The 12642-nt window shown below is 36.3% G+C and overlaps 1 protein-coding gene across 30 annotated transcripts in view; it reads left to right on the forward strand.

Moving 5' to 3' along the window:
* SMG7 (SMG7 nonsense mediated mRNA decay factor) overlaps positions 1 to 12642 on the forward strand; it is an 81693-nt gene that overhangs the window by 23540 nt on the left and 45511 nt on the right. For 10 of the 30 annotated variants that reach the window (NM_001394134.1, NM_001394138.1, NM_001350220.2 and 7 more), the window contains 2 exons: positions 5093 to 5229; positions 6215 to 6353. The exons of 13 other annotated variants lie outside the window; for them this stretch is intronic. In NM_001394134.1, the coding sequence (NP_001381063.1) occupies positions 6238 to 6353 (116 nt within the window). In that variant the 5' untranslated portion in view covers positions 5093 to 5229; positions 6215 to 6237. Of the gene's footprint in view, positions 1 to 4141; positions 5230 to 6214; positions 6354 to 11997; positions 12145 to 12642 lie in introns of those variants that run through there. 7 more of the 30 variants (NM_001394133.1, NM_001394135.1, NM_001331007.2 and 4 more) reach the window with 4 other exon arrangements.

Here is a 12642-nt window from a genome sequence, read left to right on the forward strand (position 1 = left end):
TCCTAGCACTTACCATCTTTGTGGCATTGGGCAAGTTTCCTAAAATCTCTAGGAGTTTCTTTAATCATAAAATTGGAAAAATGGTTATAATCTCAGGTTGTCATGAAAACTAAACCCAGGATGGCTTATGTTCTTCACTTGTCATTTAGTAGATCCCCAATAATTATTAGTTATCTTTCCTTCTTTATATATTAACTTTTTATTCTTTCATTCAGGGACTTTTTTTCCTTTTAAATATATGCAATAGTTAAACAAGTCCCTATGGCCCTCATGAGACTGTATTTACCCATTATGTTTCTCTATTGGATCTTTTCTATGTTGTTGTTTATCCCATCCTATTAAAAAACATGTTATGTATTCCATCTTAAAAACGCTTTTGACCTTTACATCTCTCTGTAGCTACTGCCTCTTTCTTTTCCCAGACTATTGTCTAAATTCAATTTTAACCTCAGTTCCTATCCTCTTATAACAAGATCCTCAGTGACTTCCACATTACTAAATCCAGTGATTAGTTCTCAGGCCTCATTTTACTTTATTTTTCAGGAGCATTTATTGATTCTGCCCTCTTTTCTTGAAGCTTTTTCTTTATTTGGCTTCTGGGACACTTCGTTTGACAAATTTACCTCCTACTTCTCTGGCCACTTGTTCTCAATCTGTTTACTATTTGTTTCCTTCTCAGTCTAGCCAGGAGTGTCCAGTGTTTTGGCTTCCCTGGGTTACATTGGAAAAAGAAGAATTGTCTTGGGCCACACATAAAATATGCTAACACTAATGATAGCTGATGAGCTTTTAAAAATTGCAAAAAAAATCTTAGAATGTTTTAAGAAAGTTTGTGAATTTGTGTTGGGCCGCAGTTAAAGCCGTCCTGGGCTGCATGTGGTCTGTGGGCCATGGATTGGACAGGCTTAGTCTAGCCCTTAAATATTGGAGTTTCTCAGACTTGTTACTCTTAACACTCCCTTGGTAATGTCATCCCGTCTTATGGGCTTTAACGAATATCTGTATGCTGATGACTCCCAAATGATATCTGTACTCCCACTTTCCTCTGACCCCTTTAACAAAACTCTTTAAGAAACTACCAGTTAATTACATTCATGTCATACCTTTGCTTAAAATGTCCAAAAATTTTGCTTGGTGGTTTCTCATATCTCAGACTATCTAGATCAAGTTAAGTCTGACCTGCATAGTCCAGAACAACTTCGCTCAAATGTCTGGGCCCTCAACTGGAATGGCTGTGATAGCTAAGAAAACTGGGTCTCTCTTCCCAAGTGGTCTGTCATCCTCAGCTTCATAGTGTTTTGATGGTGTTCCAAAAGGGCAAGCCCAAATGTGCCAGTGCTTACAAAGTCTCAGTGTCACATTTACTGAAGTCCAGTTGGCCAAAGTAAGTCACATGACCAAACCCAGGATTGGTAGGAGTTCCAGGGGTGCAAATGCCAAGAGGTGTGTGATTCATTGGGGGCAGTTAATAATGTATCACAGGTTTTATATAATCTGCATCTGGTTTAATTTGTTAAATTATTTTTTATTTTATTTATTTATTTATTTTGCGATGGAGTCTTGTTCTGTGGCCCAGGCTGGAGTGCAGTGGCGCGATCTTGGCTCACTGCAACCTCTGCCTCCCCGGTTCATGCGATTCTCCTGCCTCAGCCTCTGGAGTAGCTGGGATTATAGGCGCCCGCCACCGTGCCCGGCTAATTTTTGTCTTTTTAGTAGAGAGGGAGGTTTCACCATCTTGGCCAGGCTGGTCTAGAACTCCTGACCTCATGATCCCACCTGCCTCGGCCTCCCAAAGTGCTGGGATTACAGGCGTGAGCCACTGCACCTGGCCAAAATTATTTTATTATTATACAGCACCCATTTCTTTGCTCAGGAAAATAATCAAGAAAAAGAACTGTCTAGATAATTAAATTGTCATCTGGAAGTATGGGCTAAATAATGGCTCTTGTGAGAATATCAAGTTTGACTTTTGAGTATCTTTTGTTTTTCAGTTTCAGAGAGCACCTGGAAGTAGAGAATGTACTATTTGTACCACAATAATTTATAGAATATTTTATTTAGTTAAATCAGACAGTATCTTGAATATTGTTGCTAGTTAATTAACTTGTCCATCTTTCATGTTATCTACCTGTTCCAAGTTAGAAAGTTGAACTTTATTTCTCCCTAATCTAAAATTATATGGAGCTTTGCATTTTATAAAGCACTGTTTCAGCTGAGTGCAGTGGCTCATACCTGTAATCCCAGCACTTTGGGAGGCCGAGGCGGGAAGATCTTGAGCCTAGGAGTTCAAGATCAGCCTGGGCAACATGACAAAACTCTGTCTCTACTGCAGATACAAAAATTAGCCATCTGTGGTGGCACGTGCCTCTAGTTGCAGCTACTTGGGTGGCTAAAGAAGGAGCCTAGGAGGTTGAGGCTGCAGTAAGGCATGATTGTACCACTGCACTCCAGTCTGGGCAATAGAGTTTAAAACAAAAAACAAAAAACACTGTTTCTTTTTCCAACCTAATTTTTGTTCACCGTCACCTGTCAAAGGATGTGGTTACACTCTTGTTTTCTTTTTCCTTTAAAGCAGCTTTAGGTTTACAGACAAATTGCGAGAAAGGTATAGAGATTTCCCATATACCCCTTGCTCACACACATGAATAGCCTCCCCTGTTATGAACATTCCCCACCAGAGTGGTACATTTGTTATAACTCGTGAACTTACATTGACACATCATATTCACCCAAAGTTCATTTTACATTATAGTTCACTCTTGGTGTTGTACACTCTGTGGGTTTGGACCAGTGTGTAATGACATGTATCCACCGTTGTATAGTACAGAGTATTTTCACTGCCCTAAAAATCCTCTTTGCTCCACCTGTTCATTCCCCCTCTCTTCCCCTCCAACTCCTGGCAACCACTGATCTTTTTACTACCTCCATAGTTCTTGCCTTTTCCGGAATGTCATATGGTTGGAATCCTATGGTATATAGTCATTTTAGATTGTAACATGCATTTAAGTTTCCTTCATGTCTTTTCATGGTTTGATAGTTCATTTCTTTTTAGTGCGAAATAATAATCTGTTGTCTGGATGTGCCATAGATTATTTATCCTTTCCCCTACTGAAGGATATCTTGGTTGCTTCAGTAGGTGAATGGATAAATTAGTTTTCAGTGATTATAAATAAAGCCGATATGATATTCATGTGCAGGTTTTTGTGTAGACATCAGTTTTCAGCTCAATTGAATAAATACCTAGAGTCATATGGTAAGATTATGTTTAGCTTTGTGAGTAACTGCTAAACTTCCAAAGTGACTGTACTATTTTGCATTCCCAACAGCAGTGAATGAGAGTTCCCGATGCTCCACATTCTCATTCGCATTTGGTTTTGTAATTGTTCTGGATTTCGACCATTCTAATAGTGTAGTCGTAGATCATTATTGTTTTAACTTGCATTTCCCTGAGACGTTTTATGTGGAGCATCTTTTCACATGCTTATTTGCCATCTGTGTATCTTCTTTGGCAAGGTGTCTGTTAAGGTTTTGGCTCATTTTTTAATCGAGTTGCTTGTTTTCTTAATGTTCAAGAGTTCTTTGTATATTTCAGATAAGTCATTTATGAAATGCGTGTTTTATCTTCGACTTTGTGGCTTGTTGTTCTCTGGACAGCCTGTTTTCTCCATATTAACTCCTTGTACTTTGTCTTGTAATGTCCCTTTGTCAGTTTTTTCATATTACCATTTCCAAATAAATTTGGTGTGCCGTTACTTACATTAACACTACTTTTAATTCTAGTATCTACTCATATTTTTGCTTTCATTTTGGTATCCTTCTTGTTTGGAATTCTGTTAACCTTTTATCTGTATGTGCAAGCATCTGATTACTTTGTTATGTCTTCTAAGGTGGTCTTATCTGACCATTTATATATTGAGATACTAATTTTAATCTGTTTATTATTTCAAGAAGGTACAGGGGTTGTTGCAAAAAAAGGACTATTTTTAAAAAGGCATTGGGTTCATTGCTTTGGAAAGCATTGTTTTGGCATACCTTGTTTAATGTAAAAATTGAGATGAGGGGAAATAGCTTTCCTGTTGTTTATGGCTTAACCTACTTTGCTTGTTTCATTCATTTGGGTTGTGAGCTTATGTTCTGTTTGAAGTTATAGATTTTATATTTATATTATGTTCTGTTTGAAGTTTTAGAAATATTTAATGTTCTGTATATATTATATAGATTCCACTACGATGAAAACAAAGTGTGAATTTCAGAGAGCCAAGTAAATGATTATGTATTTATCTGATTGACTGTATAAAATGGTAGGTTTTCTTAAGAAAAAGGATGTTATTCCTGGTTCTCAGATGGAAAACCTTTCAGATTGTTTTTGGTGAAGACTTTTAAAACTATTGTCAGGTTTTAGAAACCTTGAGTTTTTAGGATCTTTACCTTTTATTGAGAAACTGTTTAGTCCAAATTAACCTGAATTTATTTGAGCAACTTGTATGCTGTGCACTATGTGAGGCACTACATATGCGTAATTGAATAGGACAGTTTCTAGTGAAGGAAATGTGTACACAAATAACTTTATTGTAGTCCTGTGAGTCCAATAATAGATGTGGGCATTAAGATGCACTGGGAGTACTCAGCCAAACTAAGACCTGCTTTTAGGAGTTACTGAGTTTAAAATACAAGAATGGGTTAACCAAACAAGGAGGGAAGTGGGAGGGCATTCTAGGATGAGTGAAAAAGCATGAATAAGGATACTGAGGGGCAAAACAACAAGAAATTAAAAGTAATTCAGGTTTATTGGATCACAAAGTGTAAAGTGAAAAGCTGTGGCACTTTATATGCTATGCTGAGGAACTTGAGTTTTATCATATTTTCTCTCATTCTTTTCCACTAAAGTGCGACTAAAGTCACAGGAGATTGAATACATGCTTTGGAAGTATGGCAGCAAAGTGCGCATAGACCTGCCACATATTTGAAATTTCTCCTAAGACGTATTTTATTGTGAAGAATTATGAAAAATGTTCTATTCTAGAATTGATTAGTGTGAGTTCTTAAGTTCCTAATTTATAGACTGAGGATAATAATAGCATTTACCTTTTAGGATTGCTGGGAGGAGTAATAACTATAAAATGATAATGACAATAATGGCCAACATTTTTTGAGGGCTTACTTACCAAGGAACAGTCCTAAGTGCTTTACTTCTGTTACCTCATTTAATCCTCAAAACACCTCAATGAGGTAGGTATTTTACTATCTCCATCTTATTTCTAACAAAACTGGGGCATAGAGAAGTAATTCACCTAAGGTTACACAGCTAGTAAGTGGCAGAGCTTGGTTTGAACCTAGGCAGTTTGAATATAAGACATTCTTACTATATTATACTCCCATTTTATGATATCATGCATATAGAATATTTAGCTTTGTATCTGGCACGTACTAATTATAAATGTAAGCAATTATCAATAGCAATAATAATAACTTACTTTGTCCAAATCTTTGAGTTAAATTGAAGTCCCCAAGAAATTGTGCTGTTTTTCTTGTGACTTGATTTACACCTGACATACCACTGGGGTGCAGAAAGTGTGACTCCCAAAGCCATGCTTTTAACCACTGCCGCCTCCTTCCTTGTTGGTCTGTCTCTACATTAGATTTTAAATCCATGGCAGGGACCATATCCATTTTTTTCATCATGGTACACTTAGTCCTTAACACTGTATCTATGATATAAAAATGACCAAATTTGTACAGTAAATGAGAATCGAAAAACGTGACATTTTCAACTGATCTTAGCATTATTCATACTACCTATAATTGTGTTTTAATTGTTTTACATATTTTTTACATAATTGTTTTGTTTTACATATTTTTTCTTCAGTAAGGAGTCCATCTGCTTCTGTGTTCTACAGGGCATTCTCATCCTGGTCTTAAAAGAGCCCTGCTTGGTAACCGGTATCTGTTTGTCCTGTAGTGATCACTCAGTTTTCAGACAGTGAGGAACATTAGAATAACATTTTGGTCTATAACTAGAATCTGTTAGAAATATATGAGACAGAATTTTTAAATGTTTGTTCTAAGAAACATTAAACAAAAAAAGAAAAAGGCTTTGACATTTTTCCTTTACCTTTCACATGAAGTCATTTCAAATAAAGATAAAATAATTTTCTTCATAGGGGTTCTCTGTTATTGTGGGTTAACTCATATTTTCCTCCTCTCCTCTATCTAGAATGTCTTAAACCATTCTACCTTATGAGAAATTGGATGTTCTTGCAGATAGTCATTGTGGGAGAAAACGTTTCATTTAAGTCCCAGATGAGGACCGAAAACTTGAAATCAGAGGAGCATCTGAAATCAAGTAATATTAGGTAGGATGAAAATTACAAGGGATTTCTACATGTTTTTATTCCTTTTGGAGATGTGTATTATTCATACTCTGTGAATACTAATAAAATTAGAAACTTCCTGAAACATTTGATTTTGGCCAAGATCGGGATGGGGCATGCTAAAGTTTTATTATTTATGTGACTTCTTGAGAACCTTGGCTTATGTTTATACTTTGTCTTGAGCATTTTTATCTTGTGGTCCAAGGAAGCTTTTGAAAATTTTACTGAAGTAAATTTTTAAAAATTTTGTTTTATATGAGGTCTCTGAATATTTATGATAAACGTAGGGACACATGATTTATACCTCATCCTTTAGAATGAAAGTTTCTGTGGTTTTTTTACATACTTAGTAAATCATGTGAGTGCAGGTAACATCAGCTTGCAGTTCTGTATGTCAGCGTGGATGCAATCAAGCCTCCCAAGTGCCTGTAGAAATAGGTGTATGATAGTATGCTAGAGAAGCCCTCTTGTACATGTGAATTAGTAACTATTGCTACAGCAGCTTATAATGACAGAAAATGCAAAGATGCTTGATCTCAAAGATGCAGCTTTTAACTGAGAGATGATAGTTGCCTCTGCGAGAGTGATACCTCTAGCCTGGCCATTTCAGAAGGCCTTAAATATGTTTATGAGCTCTGGGGTTTGGAACTAGATTGCAAGGGTGGAACCCAAGCTCTGCCATTTCCTAGTTATGTGACCTTGGGCAAGTTATTTAACCACTCTGTGCATCTATTCCCTCATCATCAAAATGGGCATAATATTGTTACTTACCTGATAGAATTGTTGTGAGAATCAAAGATTTAGTAATATATGAAAGCTAAGACCTGGCAAATAATAAGTGATTAAACTATATTATTGTTTGACTGCTGGTTAATTCTTAACAGATGAGTTTAGTCTGTTATCAGTTAGTGTGGTATTTCTATAATTTATAATTGTCTTGATATATCAGGTCCAATTTTAAAAATGTATTTGTTAAATAACGTAATCAGAACTAATGTTTGGAGAAAAATAAAAAAAAATAACATCCTGACTCAATTATTTTGTAATTTTTATGTATCTGCCTCTGGTTTTATTTTCTGTTTATACTAAGAACATAGTCTTCATGACATCTAAACTGTTTTTCTTTTGTCACTTGTGGTGGTAGAGGACATAGGGTTTTTTACTACAACTTTGAAATGTCTTTTTCAACCCAATGTGCCCCTTCAAAAGGGATCTCATGAAGCAGTGAGGGGAGGGAGGGACACCTGACTAGCCAGTCAGTAACCAGATTAGCAAAAGTAATTTGATGGTCATTGAACTATTCATGTCACAATCAGATTACCCCTCCTTATTCAAATGATCATTTAGGTTCTTTTATATAACTTACTTGTCTTATTTATTCCTCATAGCAACTTTGAAAAGTAGTTTCTATCCTCATTTTATGGATGAGGAAACAGTCTTCTTAAAAGCTCCAAGATAGCATTACTAATTTGTAGGAAAGCCCAAATTCAGACCTGAGTCTTTTTGCTTCATATTATTTTCCATTACATAAAACTGCCTCCTGTATGGTTCATATTTTATCACTCAATAATTCAACAAATTCAACAATTTTTAGTGAACAGCTGCCATGGGCCGAGGCATTATTCTAGTTGTTATGGCCCTCATCTTTTCCAACACTCCCAGTGGCTCATCTTTTTAGTTGTATTCTAGGCATATGTCTATTCTTGCACTGACTTTTATTGTATTGAAATTATGTACATGCCTTTGTATCTGTCACCTTACCTAGAGTTCCTTAAAAGTAGGTATCTACCAGTGTTATCATTTTGACTATTTAGAGTAAAAAAAAATTGACTTATTTTAATTTGTACTTACTGGTAGTATTTCCTTTTTTGAATTATCAGTTTGGTCTTCTAGCGATTTTTCTGTTGATATCTTGATTTATTTATTTATTTATTTATTTATTTATTTTGAGACCGAGTCTCGCTCTTGTTGTCCAGGCTGTAGTACAATGGTGTGATCTCGGCTCACTGCAACCTCCATCTCCCAGGTTCAAGTGATTCTCCTGCTTCAGCCTCCCGGGTAGCTGGGATGACAGGCACCCGTCACCATGCCCGGCTAATTTTTATATTTTTAGTAGAGACAGTTTCACCATGTTGGCCAGGCTGGTCTCAAACTCCTGACCTCCCGTGATCTGCCTGCCTCGGCCTCCCAAAGTACTGGGATTACAGGCGTGAGCCACAGCACCTGGCCAATATATTTTTGTATTAATTTTTCAATTTTGTCTAGTCCACATGGCTCTTAACACTTTCTCTGCATTCTTTTCTTTGTCATTTTGTAATTATCCCAAATATTTACCATTCTCCTCAGCTTATCCCCCTCTTACTTTCAGACACAGATTGGATCTACCTTATCTCTGAAATTGAGGAAATACAGCTGTAAATTCTCTTGACGTCTCCCTACCCCCAGTATTTCCTAGTTCTAACACATTTCTATTTAACCTTACCAACCTCCAATTTTATTCTGACTCTTTTTCAAGGCCAGTCCTCTTCCTGTCTTAATAATACCATTCTTATTTCCTTCTATCTCTTCCAGAACAGTGCTGTCAGTTTTATTTTCTCCTATTTTTTATTTTTTATATTTTATATTTCTCCTTCTTCAACCTATTCATTTCTTCCACCTTCTTTCCTTTATTCTAAACACTCTCAAGTGTCTCCCATTGGGAGAAGAAAAAAAAAAAAGAAGAAACTTCTGTTTAGCCGTGGCCTCCATCTCTGTCTCTTTACACAGTCCAGCATCCTAAGAGTTGACGTAAACTTCTCCCTCTTATTTGTTCCTCAACCTCCTGCATCCTGATATAATCTTTTCTCTGGCAAGGCTATCATTGACCCTTATTTCACCAAATCTGACACACTTTTCAGTCCTTATTTATCTCATAGTACTTTTCTGCTGTCTGTGATATTGATGACTACTCTTCCTTTTTGTTCTCTTATTTTCTATACTCCACTCTTCCCTTGCTGTCATACTATTCACCAATTTCTTCTTGGTGTCCTTCATGGAGTGTCTTTCATCTACTCTTTAAAAATGAAAACAGAGAACTAGCTCCACCCTTCTGAGTTTGTGGGCAGTTACATTTACTCTCATGGTTTTAACTGCCATCAATGTACTGATCACGTCAGTGCTGTATCCCTAGTCTCAAGTCTCCCCTGTGCTTGATACTTATCTCTGAATGCCTGCTTACGCATTCATTAATTCAACAAATTGAACGCATTTTTAGTGAACAGCTGCTACGGTCAAGGCATTATTGTAGCTGTTATGGGTGTAGCCCTGAACACTATCTTTTTTGCATTCTTTACCTTCTCATATACCCAGCTGGCCAAACTAACAATCTGGGAGTGACAGACTCTTTCCTCTGCTTTATCTTCCTTTCTTTTGGCTTAACTTACCAGGTATTTCTTGAATCTGGGTTTTTCCGTTCATCTGTATTACCACTTCCTTACTTCAGTCTTATATCTGTAGTAATCTTTCTAAAATGTAAATCTAACAATGCTATGCTCTTGCTTTAAATTCTGCACTGGTTTTCTATTGAAGGACAGAATCTGAACTCCAAGGCATGTCATGCAAGTCATGCAAGGCCTCTCACAATTTGTTCTGTCTGGATTCTTCAGCTTCATTATCTGTGGCTTTCTGCCTTGCATTTGATGCTCACTCACTAGCTTAGCTTTGCTTTTTATTGTTCTGTTATTTCTTCTGCTTGGAAGAATAACTCCTTCTCATCCTTTGAAATTCTCAGACCAGTGTTGGTCCTTAATAAAACTAGGTACACATTTTTAAAGAATATAAATTATGGAGCGAATGTTGTGGTATAGAGTATTGTAGTGTTGGGAGATTTGAAAATCCTTCATGAGCCCTAAAGTGCTGTAAAGAGAAAGCAAATTAGTATTTTTATTAACGTGTGCAAGAAAAGCTCCTTTAGGAGCAGCATCTTCTCTAGATTTTCTTTTCCAAATGACATTCAACAGTAGAGCAATATGATTTATTTTTCTCTGATTAATATTGCGAGACTTGATGTGTGTGTGGGTGTATACGCATGTGCACATTAAGTGCATGCTTACTTTATGTCTGGCCAATTATTCAGCATAAATAATTATGATTAGATTATTGTGTTTATGGTTATGATTGAGAAATGCTGTTATTATCCCAAGTATTCCTTAGAACTCTATGAAACAAGTGAACAAATTAACTTGTGGCTTTTGGTTAAATTTCTTAAAAAAAAAAAAAACACGAAAAAACTCCCAGCGTGTTCTCCCAAAATAAAAGAGAGTGATTCACTTTTCCTTAGCAGCTGTGAGTTTAGAAGATGTTGAGTTATATTCCTGAATTCTGCTCAAAGGGGATTGGGAGTTCAGGCAGAAGGAATCTCCCATTTTATGTGCCCTGATTTGGAAATATCTTACATTTTTAAACCATGAATCTTAGACTATATATTCTTTTTTTTTTTTTTTTTTTTGGAGACGGAGTCTCACTCTGTCACCTAGGCTGGAGTGCAGTGGTGTGATCTTGGCTCGCTGCAACCTACGCCCCCCAGGTTCAAGTGATTCTCCTGCCTCAGCCTCCAGAGTAGCTGGGACTACGGGTACATGCCACCACGCCAGGCTAATTTTTGTATTTTTAGTAGAGACGAGGCTTCGCTATGTTGGCTAGGCTGGTCTTGAACTCATGACCTCAGGTGGTCTGCCCACCTCAGCCTCCCAAAGTGTTGGGATTACAGGCGTGAGCCAGTGCCCAGCTGTTAGGCTATATATTCTTAAAAGAGATTATCCTGTATTTGTTACCTAGCATTGTTACATAAGTGCTATATGTATAATCAAGATATTTGTTAAAGAAGATAACCCAAATTTTAGTATTTTCCTCTAGTAACATTATTTGAAAAATTATCATAAAATGCTTAAGTATTGAAAGCCCCAGTTCTATGGGTTGTTACTATCAAACATTTCAATTTTTTTTTCTTATACTCTTGTGTAAGAGAGGAACTATTATATAATATCATAAAATAATGGTTAGGAGTTATACTCTGGAGCCATATTGATTATGCTACTTCTGCTACTTACTATGACCTTAACTAACGATACTACTTAACCTCTGTCTCCTTGGGTTTCTTGCACTATAAAGTGGGAACAATAACAGTACTTAGTGTGAAGTAAATAATTTATGTAAAGCTCTTAGAACAATGGCAATAGTAAACGCTACATATAGTGTTAGCTGTACCTATAGGCACTATAATATCTATATGTATTCTAATGTACCTAGTACCTATACTACCTCTTCTGTAGTACCTGTAGTATAGTATATAGTACTGAGTGTTTAGAATGCATTAAATGTATTTATAGATGTTGATTATTCCACGAGTATTTATTGTTTCAGTTTATTAGCTTTCAACATAGTTGGCTGTCACTGAATGTTCCATATTTTATTCAGCCTTTTAATGACTTTTTCTTTTTTTATTGCTTAATAGAATTGCTTAATTTTTCCTATTATTTAATAACTAAGACAATATATTTCGATAGCTATGTTTAATAGTGTTATTTTGTTATTGAAATCATGGTGATTTTATTCTTGGTTCATTCATTATTTTCATTAATTCCTTCAGCTTAAAGAATTAAAAGGAATTCATGTTGCCATACCCTCTACCAAGAGAAAACATTTTAAAGTTCTTGCCTCTCTGTATGAGCATTGGCTGTAAACTTCAATGTTAATTCATTGATGGTTTTTATAACAAAACCATAGAACAATTGAGGTATAGTATTTTTTTCTTCTTCTTCTTTGGAGACAAAGTCTCACTCCATTGCCCAGGTTGGAATGCAGTGGCACAAACACGGTTCACTGCAGCTTCAGAACTCCTAGGCTCAAGCAGTCCTCCCACCTCAGGCTCTTGAGTAGCTGGGACTACAAGTGCACACCACCACGCCAGCTAATTTTTTATTTTTTGTAGAGATGAAGTCTTCCTCTGGTGTCCAGGCTGGTCTTGAACTCCTGGCTCCAGTGATCCTCCTGCCTCAGCCTCCCAAAGTACTGTGATTACAGGTGTGAGCCACCATGCCTGGCCTATTTTTTTCTTTATAAAGTAAAATAATGATATAGCCAATTTTGTGCTAATCTATTAAAACATTTATATAAGGTTACGTATCCATTGATTTGATTTCTCATATATTGTACACTGTTTTTTAAAAAGAAAGCTAATAGTTGCTTAGGGGTGGGAAGATAGAGATTCCTTTTCTTGTGAGGCAGTAACTCT

Source organism: Homo sapiens, chromosome 1 (genome assembly GCF_000001405.40).
Source record: "Homo sapiens chromosome 1, GRCh38.p14 Primary Assembly".
Lineage (NCBI taxonomy): Eukaryota > Metazoa > Chordata > Mammalia > Primates > Hominidae > Homo > Homo sapiens.